Genomic DNA, 14,812 nt, shown 5'->3' on the forward strand with positions numbered 1-14,812 from the left:
ATAACTCTAAAGGATCTTTGGAAGACCAATAAAATGTATAAGCCAATTTATTCTAAGCTTGATTAAGGGAGAACAAAGAGAAACAAAATTAGGAAATAGAAAGGATACATTAAAAGCGCTTTAGTGGCTCATGCCTGTAATCCCAGTACTTTGAGAGGCTAAGGCTGGAGGATCACTTGAGGCCAGGAGTTCGAGACCAGCCTGGTCAACATCACAAAACCCTCATCTCTACTAAAAATTAAACAAAATTAGCTGGGTGTGGTGGTGCTTAGGAAGCTGAGGCGGTAGGATCCCTTGACCCCAGGATTTTGAGGCTGCAGTGAGCTATGATCATGCCACTACACCCCAGCCTGGCTGACAGAGAGAAACCCTGTCTCAAAAAAAAGCCACTTTAAGACAGTACCATCTAAGACTTAATAGCAATACATTTGGAAATTCAGCAGAAAATGGATTCTTTCCTAGCAAAATAGGCATTACAAAATTATACCAAGAAGTGGAAAACCTGGCCAGGCATGATGTCTCATGCCTGTAATTTCCAGCACTTTGGAAGGCTGAGGTAGGCAGATTGCCTGAGGCCAGGAGTTCAAGACCAGTTTGGCCAACATAGTGAAACCCCCATCTCTACAAAAAATAAAAAATTAGCTGGGTGTGGTGGCACATGCCTGTAGTCCCAGCTCCTTGGGAGGCTGAGGTGGGAAGATCGCTTGAGCTCAGGAGGTTGAGGCTGCAGTGAGCCATGATCACACCACAGCAGCCCAGCCTGGGCAACAAAGTAAGACTCTGTCTCTAAAAAATAAGTAAATACATAAAAAATAAAAAAGACTATCTACTAAAAGCTAATAGCAAATAGTGCCTTATATAATGAAACAAAAATCATTTCAGTTAATATCAGGAATCAGACAAGGGCGACTGTTATCACCTGTAGCATGTAACTTTGTCTTGGACTTCACAGCAAATGCAGCAAGACAAAAAGCAATAAAATAAGTGGTCTAAGCTTTGGAAAATGATAAATTAAGCAGCACATCTTTTTGCTGATAATAGAATTGAACCCCCCCCACAAAAAAAACCATCTAAAATTAGTAAGAGAATTTGGTAACATAGGTACATGCAAACTTTTTTCTCTAATTTAGCAAAAGGCATACACAGAAGTAGAAAATGTATTTCATTCACAGGGGAGTACTGTGAAATGTTACAAATAAGTATAGCAAATACTTGTACAAGTAAATCACCACCATAAGAGGACACTCCAGGCCGGGCGCTGTGGCTCACGCCTGTAATCCCAGCACTTTGGGAGGCCGAGGCGGGCGGATCACGAGGTCAGGAGATCGAGACCATCCCGGCTAAAACGGTGAAACCCCGTCTCTACTAAAAATACAAAAAAATTAGCCGGGCGTAGTGGCGGGCGCCTGTAGTCCCAGCTACTTGGGAGGCTGAGGCAGGAGAATGGCGTGAACCCGGGAGGCGGAGCTTGCAGTGAGCCGAGATCCCGCCACTGCACTCCAGCCTGGGCGACAGAGCGAGACTCCGTCTCAAAAAAAAAAAAAAAAGAGGACACTCCTTGCTGAAACACCCAGCATTTGTTACAGGAGGGAAGTTAATGCTGGGGTTAACACTCCTTTCTCTTTTTTTTTGAGACAGAGTCTCACGTTGTTGCCCAGGCTGGAGCGCAGTGGCGCGATCCCCACTTACTTGCAACCTCTGCCTCCTGGGCTCAAATGATTCTCCTGCCTCAGCTTCCTGAGTAGCTGGGACTACAGGTGCCTGCCACCACACCCAGCTAATTTTTTTTTTTTTTTATACGGAGTCTCGCTCTACCGCCCCGAGGCTGGAGTGCAGTGGCGCGATCTCGGCTCACCGCAAGCTCCGCCTCCCGAGTTCACGCCATTCTCCTGCCTCAGCCTCCTGAGTAGCTAGGACTACAGGCGCACGCTACCATGCCCAACTAATTTTTTGTATTTTTCATAGAGACGGGGTTTCACTGTGTTAGGCAGGATGGTCTCTATCTCCTGACCTCGTGATCCGCCCACCTCGGCCTCCCAAAGTGCTGGGATTACAGGCATGAGCCACCGCGCCCATAGAGATGGGGTTTTGCCATGTTGGCCAGGCTGGTCTTGACCTCCTGACCTCAGGTGATCCACCCACCTCAGCCTCCTAAAGTGCTGGGATTACAGGCATGAGCCACTGCATCTGACCATTGCTCATGTCTTCTGAAAATTCTTCATGCCGCTGCTCTTGCTGTTTTGTGCTTGCTCCCCTTGGGTGGATGGATGTAGGAAACCCTTGTGCCTGCAACCCTGGGCCACAAGAAGGGTAAACACCTCCATCCTGCTAAGAAACAGCAAGCCCACTGGCTGCCACCCACTGGTGTGGGCACAGTGCGTTTTCTCAGTTGATCATAGATGGTGTGTACATTTTTTGACTGTCATATAACTAAATCCAGAGTATAAACAGTATTTGTCAGAATTGTGTCATATTTGAGGCCGGGTGCAGTGGCTCATGCCTGTAGTCTCAGCACTTTGAGAGGCTGAGGCCAGCGGATTGCTTGAGGCCAGGAGTTCAAGACCAGCCTGGCCAACATGGCGAAACCCCGTCTCTACCAAAAATACAAAAAAATTAGCCAGGTGTGGTGGCACACACCTGTAGTCCCAACCACTTGGGAGGCTGAGGCACGAGAATTACTTGAACCCAGGAGGCAGAGGTTGCAGTGAGCTGAGATCACGCCACTGCACTCCGGCTTGGATAACAGAGTGAGACTTTGTCTAAAAAAAGATTTATTTTTAATAAATGAATAAGAATGTTATCATATTTGACCTCTGAGTCCTGGATACCTCTTCTGTCTGTAGACTACAAATCCTACTCTTTCCCTTCTGGGTGTTCCTTTCTGCACCTGAAGTCCATGGTGTAGTTTTCTACAGACCTTGCCCCGAGGGCATAAGATCTGCATAGCCCTTGATGCAGATTAAGGAGGGGCACCCCTCTGGACAGAATCAGAGGGCGCCATCTAGTGGCCCCGTCTAGATAGGCAAAATCAGTGCGGGATGGGGAACGGGAGACAGGCCAGCATGACTGAAATCATCTTGTGACAGTGCCCTAAGGATAAGTTGATAATGGGATTGTGCCCTAGTATCTTCCCTAATTTTAAGCTAAAAAATGCATTGCTGAGTCACATTTGATTTATGATGCATGGATGCTTTCCTGCCATATGTTTTTTTTGACACTTTCTGTAAACGCCATCTGTGCTTTTCTCCCATTTGTACTGCCCTGTATATCCCCGTTCAGCATTGCCAGTGTTTCCAGCCACCTCTTAAAGCATTCTGAAGTTTCATTTTATTCTTTGCCACACTTAAGATGTTCAGATGGAATGAGCAAATCTCCTGTCAATAGCCAGGAAAATACTAGATCAAACTTTAGCTTAAGTGGGATCAGCATATAACCTCTATCTGGCTGACCCCAATGCTTTGATGCTTTGTTAACGTTCAGGTTATCAGTTGGCCAAAGTCATCATCTGATTTTCGAAGTTGTTAGCTAATGACTCTAGGCTACATACAGAGCACCAAGACAATGGACTTTTTTTGAGTTGGAGTTTTGCTCTTGTCACCCAGGCCGGAGTGCAATAGCGCGATCTTGGCTCCCTGCAACCTCCGCCTCCCAGGTTCAAGTGATTCTCCTGTCTCAGCCTCCTGAGTAGCTTGGATTACAGGTGCCTGCCACTACGTCCAGCTAATTTTTGGTATTTTTAGTAGAGACGGGGTTTCACCATGTTGGCCTGGCTGGTCTCGAACTCCTGACCTCAGGTAATCCACCTGCCTTGGCCTCCCAAAGTGCTGGGATTACAGGTGTGAGCCACCAAGCCCAGCCCAGTTTTGTTTTGTTTTGTTTTTAAAGACAGGGTCTAGCTCTGTCTCTCAGGCTGGAGTGCAGTGGCGCAATCTTGGCTCACTGCAACCTCCACTTCCTGGGCCCAAGTGATCCCCCCACCTCAGCCTCCCAAGTAGCTGTGACTACGGGTGCACACCACCACACCCAACTAATTTTTTTTTTTTTTTTGAGACAGAGTCTCACTCTTTCGCCCAGACTGGAGTGCAGTGGCACGATCTCAGCTCACTGCGACCTCTGCCGCCTGGGTTCAAGTGATTGTCCTGCCTCAGCTTCCCGAGTAGCTGGGATTACAGGCGCCTGCCACCGAACCCAGCTAATTTTTGTATTTTTAGTAGTGGTGACAGGGTTTCACCATCTTGGTCAGACTGGTCTTGAACTCTTGACCTCGTGATCCACCCACCTCAGCCTCCCAAAGTGCTGGGATTACAGGCGTGAGCCACCGCGCCTGGCCCACACCCAGCTAATTTTTGTAGAGATGAGGTTTTGCCGTGTTGGCCAGGCTAGTCTCGAACTTCTGGGCTCAAGCGATCTGCCCACCTCAGGCTCCCAAAATGCTAGGATTACAGGAGTGAGCCACTGTGCCTGGCTGATGCTGGAAATTTTTTAAGTAATTAGTATTTGTCTTTAAAATCTAGTCGTAGGGAAATCAAACCATTTTTCTCTCTTTTTGTTTCTTTCACACTTAGCCTGCCTCTATCCTAGGCATAGCCCTTCATGACAGCCCTGGCACACACCATGCCTCAGCCCTAGGTGCGGCAAGTCCCATCTCCCCACAGCAGGGTGCTGGGCACAGCCTACAGCCCACGCTGTGGGGCACAAGCCTGGCAGCTCCTCACTGCCTTTCATTGCATGTGTGACCAGCACGTTAGCAAAGCGTAGGGAAGGACCAAGAGGCCAGTTTGTCCCCAAACCCGGTTTATTCCTTTGTCCCAATGCAGTGGGCTCAGACCCAGAGTTTGCACGCTATGTGGCAGGAGTGAGCCAGGCGATGCAGCAGAAGCGGCAGGCCCAGCACGGTCGCCGGCCAGGCAACCCCCGGGGCAACTGGCCGCCTATGGATGACGCGCATCGGACCTGGCCCTTCCCCGAGTTCTTCACAGAAGGGTGAGTGCTGGGTACTTCAGGGAATCTGAGCTTGAGACCCAGGTGTCCCCCGAGGGGCCTGTGAGAAGAGAGGCTCCTTGCCTGTGTGCATTCTTTTCAGGCAGTTCAATTCCAAGCCCCCATGTGAGAGAGTGACATGGGATGAAATCTTTAGGGGTCAGAGTCATGTGGCTGACTGTTAGATGCCAAGTAGTGTGATGTATCCCTGTGAACGTGCCATTGGTATACATTCATGATTTTCAAAACAGACTCTTCAGCCCTAGACAAGGCTCTTACATGATGGTGCTTGTGAGGTGAAGGCATGTTTCACACGGCCTTTATACTGAACTGAGTGTGGCTGCGAAGCCCACGTGATTTATGGAACGCTGTCATTATAGCCTATGAAAAGCAAAAGTGTACAATTGAGATTCTAGTATATTGAGAGAATTGCAAATTTTTATTGTAAAGACAACTGGGGATTTTTTTATATCCCATATTGCTACATGGTTAATAAATCTGGATGACTAAAGACCAGCTCAACTTTTTGTTTTTTCTTATTTTTAAATTTTTTTTTTTACTTAAAAATTTTTTTTCTTTCAACTTTTAAGTTCAGGGGTACATGTGCAGGATGTGCAGGTTTGTTGCAAAGGTTAATGTGTGCCATGGTGGTTTGCTGCACAGATCATCCCGTCACCTAGGTATTAAGCCCAGCATCCATTAGCTATTCTTCCCCATGCTCTCCCTCCCTTGCTTTTTCTAAAACAAATTTCATATACAAACCATAGGCTTCTTAGAGGAATAAAGGGAATTGATGAATATGTATTACTTTTGAAATAAGGCAAAGGAGGAAAACCTCACGTTTTAAGAAGGGAGAGACAAGAGACCACTATTTGGTTATGGGATGAATGCAGGGTAAGGACTGCCCTTTCAGGGTGGGGTGGCGGGTGGTGGGGCTGCAGGAGGCCCTGGCCCAGCTTCTCTCTCTGGCTTTCAGGGATGGCCTGCACGGTGGCTGGTCGGGTGCTCAGGGAGACTCTGCCAGCTCGAGTGATGAGACATCCTCAGCCAACGGGGACAGCTTGTTCTCCATGTTTTCAGGGCCTGACCTCGTTGCTGCTGTCAAGCAGAGAAGGTATGAAGGGATTTCTAAACCAAGGTGGGGAGAGAAGGGCATGTGAATGCAACCCATGGCTCACTCCCTGGGAAAGCCAGGAGCCCAGTCACCTCCAGTCTCCCTGTGTGAGAGGAGGGGCTCTTCCAGCAATGCCTGGCTGAAGCCTCTGAAGAGCACCTGCAGGAGGCGGTTTCCACAAGGAAGAGCCGGCCTCATCTTGTGCAGATCAATTTGGGAGACGGGGTGGCCGGTGCTGGTCTGTGCCTTGCAGGAGGCACCCATTTCTGTGGGAAGAGCAGGCCTTTGGTTGCGAGTTCTAATCTGGACTCACCAACAGGCTCTGCAACCCTAGACAAGGGGCTGGCCCTCAATTACCCTCCATCTCTTTATTAAAGATGGATAAAATGACCTCTGAATGGCGTTTCAAAGTTGGGAAAAGTAGTAATTAGCTTTCAAAAGTAGTCACAAAAATTAAAATGGGCTCTGAACTGAGAGGAGAGCTTGGTTAGAAATAAGTAGAGAAACTGCTGTGGATATGAGAAAGCAAGGTCAGGGTGGCAGACTAAGGACCATGGGCAGGAGTAGAGGGCACGCAGGGCTCCCAGGCACTCGAAGCCATGCTGTAGAGCAGAGTGGGAGGCCGGGTTACTTGGTCCCTGCTGGACAGGCCAGGCTCTGTCAGATAGGCAGTGGGGAGCGGGTAGGTGAAGACAGAATGGTACTTGCACAGAATAGTAGTGGGGTGGGGGGTGGCATTGACCAATCACGAGCACACATTCAGATGCTTTCTGTCCACACTTGTAGTCCCAGCTACTCGGGAGGCTGAGGTGGGAGGATCACTTGAGCCTGGGAAGTTGAGGCTACAGTGAGCTGTGTTTGTGCCACTGCACTCTAGCCTGGGCAACAGAGTTAGACCCTGTCTCAAAAATCAAACAAAAAATCATGTCAGGTTAGGCTAGGTGCTCTGAAGGAAAATAAAGCAGGGTATGAGGGTAGTAAATGCAGAGAACAGGTGGATGTTCTATTTCCAGCACTTAGTCAATGAGGCTTCTGATGAGCAGAGAGCTGAACAAAGTGCGGCAGCAACTGGTGGGGAATCGGCAGTGGGGTGTGGGTGAGGTAGGAAGAGTCAAGGATGACACGCAAGTTTTCTGCCTGAGTTTCTGTGAAGGGCGCCATGAACTGAGGTGCTAAGCCTGCAGGAGGAGCAAGTTTGAACCGGGGGTGGAGTTTGAGACTTTTCTTTCAGACATATGACTGATTCGACTTCTAAGAAGTCACATCTGGCACCATCTCTGCAGAGACTGTTGTCTGCATGCAGGAGTGCTGGCTCTGATCTGGCCACATCCTGCCTTTTTCATTCAACCTTGTAACAGACTTTCATGTGATTAGTAAAACGAATGGGCTTTAAGTCACATATCCTTAGTGCTTGGAAACAGTATCTCTCTCTTTTTTTGTTTTTTTGAGACGGAGTCTCGCTCTGTTGCCCAGGCTGGAGTGCAGTGGCGCGGTCTTAGCTCACTGCAAGCTCCGCCTTCCGGGTTCACGCCATTCTCCTGCCTCAGCCTCCCAAGTAGCTGGGACTACAGGCGCCCACCACCATGCCCGGCTAATTTTTTGTATTTTTAGTAGAGACAGGGTTTCACCATGTTAGCCAGGATGGTCTTGATCTCCTGACCTCGTGATCCACCTACCTCGGCCTCCCAAAGTGTTGGGATTAAAGGCGTGAGCCACCGCACCCGGCCGGAAACAGTATCTCTTAAATAAATTAACAAAAAGCCGGCCGGACTCGGTGGCTCACACCTGCAATCCCAGTACTTTGGGAGGCTTAGGCGGGCAGATCACCTGAGGTCAGGAGTTCGAGATCAGCCTGGCCAACATGGTGAAACCCCATCTCTACTAAAAATACAAAAATTAGCTGGGCATGGTGGCACGCACCTGTAATCCCAGCTACTCGGGACGCTGAGGCACAAGAATTGCTTGAACCTGGGATGCAGAGTTTGCAATGAGCTGAGATCATGCCACTGCACTCCAGCCTGGGAAACAGTGAGACTCAGTCTCAAAAAAAAAAAAAAAAATAAAATAATAATAATAATAATAATAAAGCCAAAGAAGGTGGACTCAGCAGCTGAGTAAACCAGTGCCTGTCTTTGCCTGCCACCTCCACCCCCAGCTCCTCCACCTGCACTGGCAGTGCAGGAGCGCCGTCATTCACTGCTGGCTCCCCTTAGCCGCCTTTATGCCATTGACCCAGGCAGGCCTCCTCCCCTCCTAGAACCAGGGCCTGGAGATGCTGGAGCCTAGCACTAGTGTGTACCCTACAGGTGGGCTGGGCAGGAAGCCAAGCAATCACTGCCCTGAGCTCTTGGTTCTTGCAGGAAACACAGCAGTGGAGAGCAAGACACCAGCACGCTGCCCTCACCACCTCTCCTCACCACGGTGGAGGATGTGAACCAGGTATTCAGGCAGGCTCTGTGGGCACAGACTTGGGCTAGCTTCCACAGCTGCAGTTTTCAGAGGGCCTCAAAGTAATGAGGGATCTTCTTTGTGGTGATTAATTTTGTGTAAATGATTAGCCACCTCAGCTGACTCAGAGCCACAGGAAGCTCTACGGCTGTGCTGTCCAGTGTGATAGCCATTCACCACATGTGGCTATGTAAATTTAAATACAAATAAAAATTCAGGCCGGGTGTGGTGGCTGATGCCTGTAATCCCAGTGCTTTGGGAGGCCAAGGCAGAAGGATGGCTTGAGGCCAGGAGTTCTTGACCAGCCCAGGTAATATAGACACTGTCTCTGCAAAAAAATTAAAAGATCAGCTAGGCATGGTGGCACATGCCTGTAGTCCTAGCTGCCCAGGAGGCTGAGGCAGGAGGATGGCTTGAACCCAGGAATTTGAGATTACAGTAAGCTATGATTGCACCATTGCACTCCAGCCTGGGTGACAGAGCGAGACTGCCTCTAAAATACTTTTTAAAAACAATCAGCCGGGCGCAGTGGCGACGCCTGTAATCCCAGCACTTTGGGAGGCCAAGGCGGGTGGATCACGAACGAGGTCAGGAGATCGAGACTATCCTGGCTAACACGGTGAAATCCCATCTCTACTAAAAATACAAAAATTAGCCAGGCATGGTGGCATGCGCTTGTAATCCGAGCTACTCAGAAGGCTGAGACAGGAGAATCGCTTGAACCCCGGAGGCAGAGGTTGCAGTGAGCCGAGATCGTACCACTGCACTCCAGCCTGGGCGAGAGACAGACTGCATCTCAAAAAAAAAAAAAAAAAGTTCCTTTCCTCAGTTTGCACTAGTCACATGTGGCGAGTGGCTACCATACTAGACCGTATAGGCACAGAACATGGCTATCATTGCAAGAAGTTCTGTTGGACAGGGGTGTGGGAGTGAGTGGGGCTCTCACCCGGCTTCCTAGGAGGGAATAAGGGCCAGGCATCTGGGGAGGTGGGAAATGATGATACATTGCCCGAAATGCCACTAAGAACTCTCTTTTGTTTCTCAGGATAACAAAACCAAAACGTGGCCACCCAAAGCACCCTGGCAGCACCCTTCCCCGCTTCCCAGCACGCTGCCCAGCCCCAGCGCACCACTCTATGCAGTCACCAGCCCTGGCAGCCAGTGGAACGACACCATGCAGATGCTGCAGTCCCCAGTGTGGGCCGCAACCAACGACTGCAGTGCCGCTGCCTTCTCCTATGTGCAGACCCCACCCCAGCCCCCACCCCCACCAGCACACAAGGCAGCACCCAAGGGCTTCAAGGCCTTCCCTGGGAAGGGTGAGCGCAGGCCAGCCTATCTGCCCCAGTACTGACCCCAGGCCAGCCAGCCTGCCTGCCTGCCTGCCTGCCCGCCCAGAGCTGTGGGGATGAGTGTCCCCACCCCAGGGCCACTTAGCTGACACCAGCCCCTCAGAGGACCAGTGCGCCCCATCCCAGGGAGGGTTCCTTGGGGACAAGGGTGGTTGGCAGCTCCAAGCCTTTAAACCTGGCTTCTGAAACGATGGCATCAGAGCCCTGGAGAGCCAGCTGGAGACACAGGCGTCTGGCCTTCAGGGGCTTGCTAGGGAACCTGCATGCCTAGTAAGCGCCACAGGTGACTCTGATGCAGGCGCCACAGCCACACTTGAAGAAACACAGCTCTTGGGTTTTTAGTCCTGCTGTGTGTTGGGAAGACATCAGGCCTGAAAGCTGAGGGCATAACTGACCATTTTTTGGAAACCCTCTCCTCCCTCCTCCACACCTTGAGTGATGACCACACCAATCACTGTATTTTATAGCTTTTTTTTTCATGTAGGTTTTTAGTTAAAACATCTCCTGCCTAAAATGCATTGAATATTTTAAGATAACAGATATACTGGCTGGAGGTTTGTTTAACACTATCTATATTTAAGCTTATACAAAATGGGCAAAATATAGAATATTTGTGATTGGAAGCAGTCACCTGGGGTTTCTGGGGGTGGACAGTTCCTCGCCACCCAGCAGCACCCTGGGACTGCGGCCTTTCCCAGCTTTATTGAAGCAGAATGGTGGAACTTGTGCCGGAGGTACACTGCTGAAGGTGCGTGGCGGTGGACCAGCCAGCTGCTGTCCATGTGCAGAGCAAGGCTGCACCTGCTGCCCTTCGATCCTTCCACACATGGCCAGGACACTGCCACAATCCTCGGGGTGTGGTCAAGGGGCACTCAGAGACACCTGCACTAGAAATTGCATTGACATTGTGAGCTGGCTCAGAAGACAAACCAATTAAGATGTAGATAGAAATTAATTTAAGGTCTTTTCTTAAAAAAAAAATCCACCTCATTTTCAGTTAACATGTGCCATTAAATAGATAACATCCTGTGGATTTAGGGATATTTTCCAGCCAGAATGGATCCAGAAGAATTGAATGGTGCTTAAATTGAGAAATAATAATAAATATATCTATATAGAATAGACATATCCCACTGTATATTAATTGAGGTTACAGAAAGTTCTTTATATAAAACTTATTTAAATTTTTCATATTTCATCTTTGAAAAAGTCTGAGAAAAATCCATAATATTTTCTGGTATGAAAGTTTGACAGTATTAATATTTTTTTTATATTTTCTTAAATCATTAAACCATTTTAATATATGTTAACTACTAATAAATGGTTTATTCTTTCTAACTCCATATAAGCTTTTCCAGCAAAGATTGTAATAACACATTTATGTTCTCGTTTTTCTACAGATATAAGTAAATTTATATATAAAAATACCAAAAAGAGGCTGGGCGTGGTGGCTCACGCCTGTAATCCCAGCACTTTGGGAGGCCGAGGCAGGTGGATCACCTAAGGTCAGGAGTTCGAGACCAGCCTGGCCAATATGGTGAAACCCCATCTCTACTAAAAATACAAAAATTAGCCGGGTGTGGTGGCGTGCGCCTGTAGTCCCAGCTACTCGGGAGGCTGAAGCAGAAGAATCGCTTGAACCCGGGAGGCGGAGGTTACAGTGAGCTGAGATTGTGCCACTGCACTCCAGCCTGGGTGACAGAGTGAGATTCCGTCTCAACAAGAAAAAAAAAAAAGAATATATATATATGTATGTATGTATGTATGTAAACACACACACTAATTTGAGAGGACCCGTAGGGTGTCTGAGCCCAGCCACCTGAGTTTTTAGTACTGTGTTGTCAGGCTCTTCCCAGGCCTCAGGTGTTGTCTTTTGTGCTGTGTGGGGATGCATTGCTGCCTGTATTTATGATCTTTTGCCGTGGTTCTGAGCATTCACCTCACCATGTTTACAAAGAACTGTTTTGTATATAGACATTTTCAGGCACGTGCTTTGCACCAACCCTGCGTGGCTCTTGTCTGTGTTAGCTGTCACGGTGTGCACACTAATCTCTGTTAAAGTTGTCTATGGCTGTTCTACTTGTAAGATAGTTTTCTATTTCCTTCAGTAATGTGTCCACAGTACCCTGTATTTCGAGTTCCATTATACTGAAGTACTCATGTTTTAATAGTGCCTCTCCAAAGGCCTCACCTTGGACAGAGGTCAATCCTTGATGCTCCAGCACAGGTGACGTCACTAATTGTCACTTTCCAGTTTGTTTTTCTCTATTAAGGAAGACATTTTCTAATTGCATCTCCATGGGCTGTGAGACTGTGTGAAGCCGTTTGTGTGGTCTCCATGTAGGTGCTGTGTTCCCGGCACCGCCTTGCTCTGAACACTGGTAATTCCAGGTGCTGCGCTTGGCAGAGGGGTCTCGCCAAAGCGCATGTGTGTGCATGTGTGAACGTGTGTGTCCTTTGCATGGTTGGGCGTGGGTGCCTTGCTAGGGCATCAGCAGGACATTGTGTGTATAGTTACAATGCTTCCAAACTGGAACTCTACATTTTGTATCTTTTAAAGCTCCTATAAGTAAAATAACTATTGGCTTTATTAAAAATATACATTTAATAATACTTTGTATCCTTGTTTAAAATGAACTGCAGAGGACATTATGTCAAAAGCCCTGCCTGACTCATTGCTTTGAAAAGCTGCATACTGAGTTGGTTTTTAGGTCAGCCTGTCCTCTGATTCTAGCAAGGGGAAGACCACTTGGGATATTACGGTGAGCTGAAGTGGATGGGCAGGAGGGAGAACAAGCAGCTACGCCTCCCCTATTGGCTTCCCTAAGGCCCAAGCTGGTTTAGGCCCCTGTGCAGGGGGAGCCAGTGCAGTAGTGAAGGAGACGTCCTCTGCAAGGGTGCAAGCTCTCTGGGTTGGGGTCTACCAACACCCATGTTCCACCAAATGTGGATGCTGTGACTTGCCCAGCCAGCTTGTCCAATGACGAGACCCAAGAATGAGGGCTTGTTTTACCCTCTTCCCAAACCAGGGACCCAATCTATGGCAGAGATACTGTGCCTTACAGGGATAAGAAGGACCTGTCTCTGCCGGCCGCAGTGGCTCACACCTGTAATCCCAGAACTGTAGGTGGCTGAGGCAGGTGGACCACAAGGCCGGGAGATCGAGACCATCCTGGCCAACATGGTGAAACCCCATCTCTACTAAGAATACAAAAATTAGTCGGGCATGGTGGCGTGTGCCTGTAATCCCAGCTACTCAGGAGGCTTAGGCAGAAGAATCGCTTGAACCAGGAAGTCAGAGGTTGCAGTGAGCCGAGATCGCACCACTGCACTCCAGCCTGGCGACAGAACGATGGGGCTGTCTCCAAAAAAAAAAAAAAGCCAGGCACTGTGGCTCACGCCTATAATCCCACCACTTTGAGAGGCTGAGACAGTAGATCATGAGGTCAGGAGTTCAAGACCAGCCTGCCCAACATGGCGAAACCCCATCTCTACTAAAAATACAAAAAATTAGGTGGTATGGTCGCAGGTACCTGTAATCCCAGCTGCTTGGAAGGCTGAGGCAGGAGAACTGCTTGCACCCGGGAGGCAGAGGTTGCAGTGAGCCAAGACTGCTCCACTGCACTCCAGCCTGGGCAACAGAGTGAGACTCTGTCTCAAAAAAGAAAAAGAAAAAAAGAAAAAAACAAAAACAGGACCTGTCTCACTGGATGATGCCATCGTGTTAAGCAGAAGAAAGATAGTATCATGAGACCCACAAATGGAGGGCAGGTCACAGGAGCATTTCAGCTCATTTTCATTTACAGAAAGACAGCACCTCAGTGGAACCTTTTTTGACGACCTGAAGAAAATGGAGTAATGTGGGCATTAATATATAAGCTGCTGGTGTAGGAACCACTCTTCTTTCTGCCAAGGTGCCCTGAAGTTGAGCATGGGGACCAAGTCCCAGAGCCTTCCAAATGCACCTCAGGACAAAGTTGCTCGGTAACGGCCATGTTGCCTGAGAGTGCTCAAGAATACACTGGAAGTTCATATTAAAAAGCTAGCAGGGGCTGGGTGTGCTGGCTCACGCCTGTAATCCCAGCAATTTGGGAGGCTGACCTGGGAGGATTGCTTGAGGCCAGGAGTTCAAGACCAGCCTGGGCAACATAGTGAGACCCCATCTCTTTAAAAAAGCCCATATTTTATTCCAGAGTGTTCCCATTTAACACAAGCACCCAGTTCTCTTGACTAGTTCTGATTCACAGCAGTGCTGGAGGCCAGAGGGCAGAAGTCCCGCAGCTCTGGCTGTGTGCAAATGAGTGGGGAGGGAAGCTGAGCAGATGCTACACCTGAGCTACTACTGCAAGGGCTTCACAGGCCTTGGCCCATCTGAGAAATGGGGGAGGATGCGCAGGCATCTTGAGGTACTTGGGAGGCTTGTGACCTTCCTCTCCCACCTGGGGGCTCCTTGGATAGGGGGCTTCCAGTTTGGAGGCTGAGATGCTGCATGCCAACCATGCGGCTGTGAGGGGATGGCCTTTTGTGCACTGTGTGGCCACTGCTGTGACCTGCCTCCTGTTGTGGAGACAGGAAATAAACCTTCCCAATGATCAGCTTCTCTACTGCCCAAAAGCATGTATGTGGACAGCATGACTGGCTACCTCCCAGCGACAGGTACCCAGGAGTCTGAGGCACCTCCAAGGGTAGACTCTGGAAATAACACATGCACCTAGCCTTACAGCACAGGGGTGAGCTCCTGGGCCCAGGCCTGTGTGTGTCAGTGAGGGGACTGGATGTGGCTTGTACTGGAATATTGACTTGGAGATGTGGGCCTAGGTGAGGGAGAAGGATTGTTTCAGGCGTGTCACATTCATTTCAACATTCACGAATGTCATATAAGGGCTAGGCCCTTGCTAGGAGCCAGGACTGCAAAGAT

At 49.0% G+C, this 14,812-nt stretch overlaps 1 protein-coding gene across 1 annotated transcript in view; it reads left to right on the plus strand.

Annotated features, from left to right (window-relative positions):
* The window catches only part of GARRE1 (granule associated Rac and RHOG effector 1), a 101,013-nt gene extending 88,506 nt beyond the window's left edge, over window positions 1-12,507 (plus strand). Inside the window, exons 11-14 of the mRNA NM_014686.5 lie at window positions 4,818-4,983; window positions 5,957-6,094; window positions 8,455-8,533; window positions 9,588-12,507. Coding sequence (NP_055501.2) covers window positions 4,818-4,983; window positions 5,957-6,094; window positions 8,455-8,533; window positions 9,588-9,896 — 692 coding nt within the window. The 3' untranslated portion in view covers window positions 9,897-12,507. The remainder of the gene's footprint in view (window positions 1-4,817; window positions 4,984-5,956; window positions 6,095-8,454; window positions 8,534-9,587) is intronic.

Source organism: Homo sapiens, chromosome 19 (genome assembly GCF_000001405.40).
Source record: "Homo sapiens chromosome 19, GRCh38.p14 Primary Assembly".
In the NCBI taxonomy this organism is placed as follows: Eukaryota; Metazoa; Chordata; class Mammalia; order Primates; family Hominidae; genus Homo; species Homo sapiens.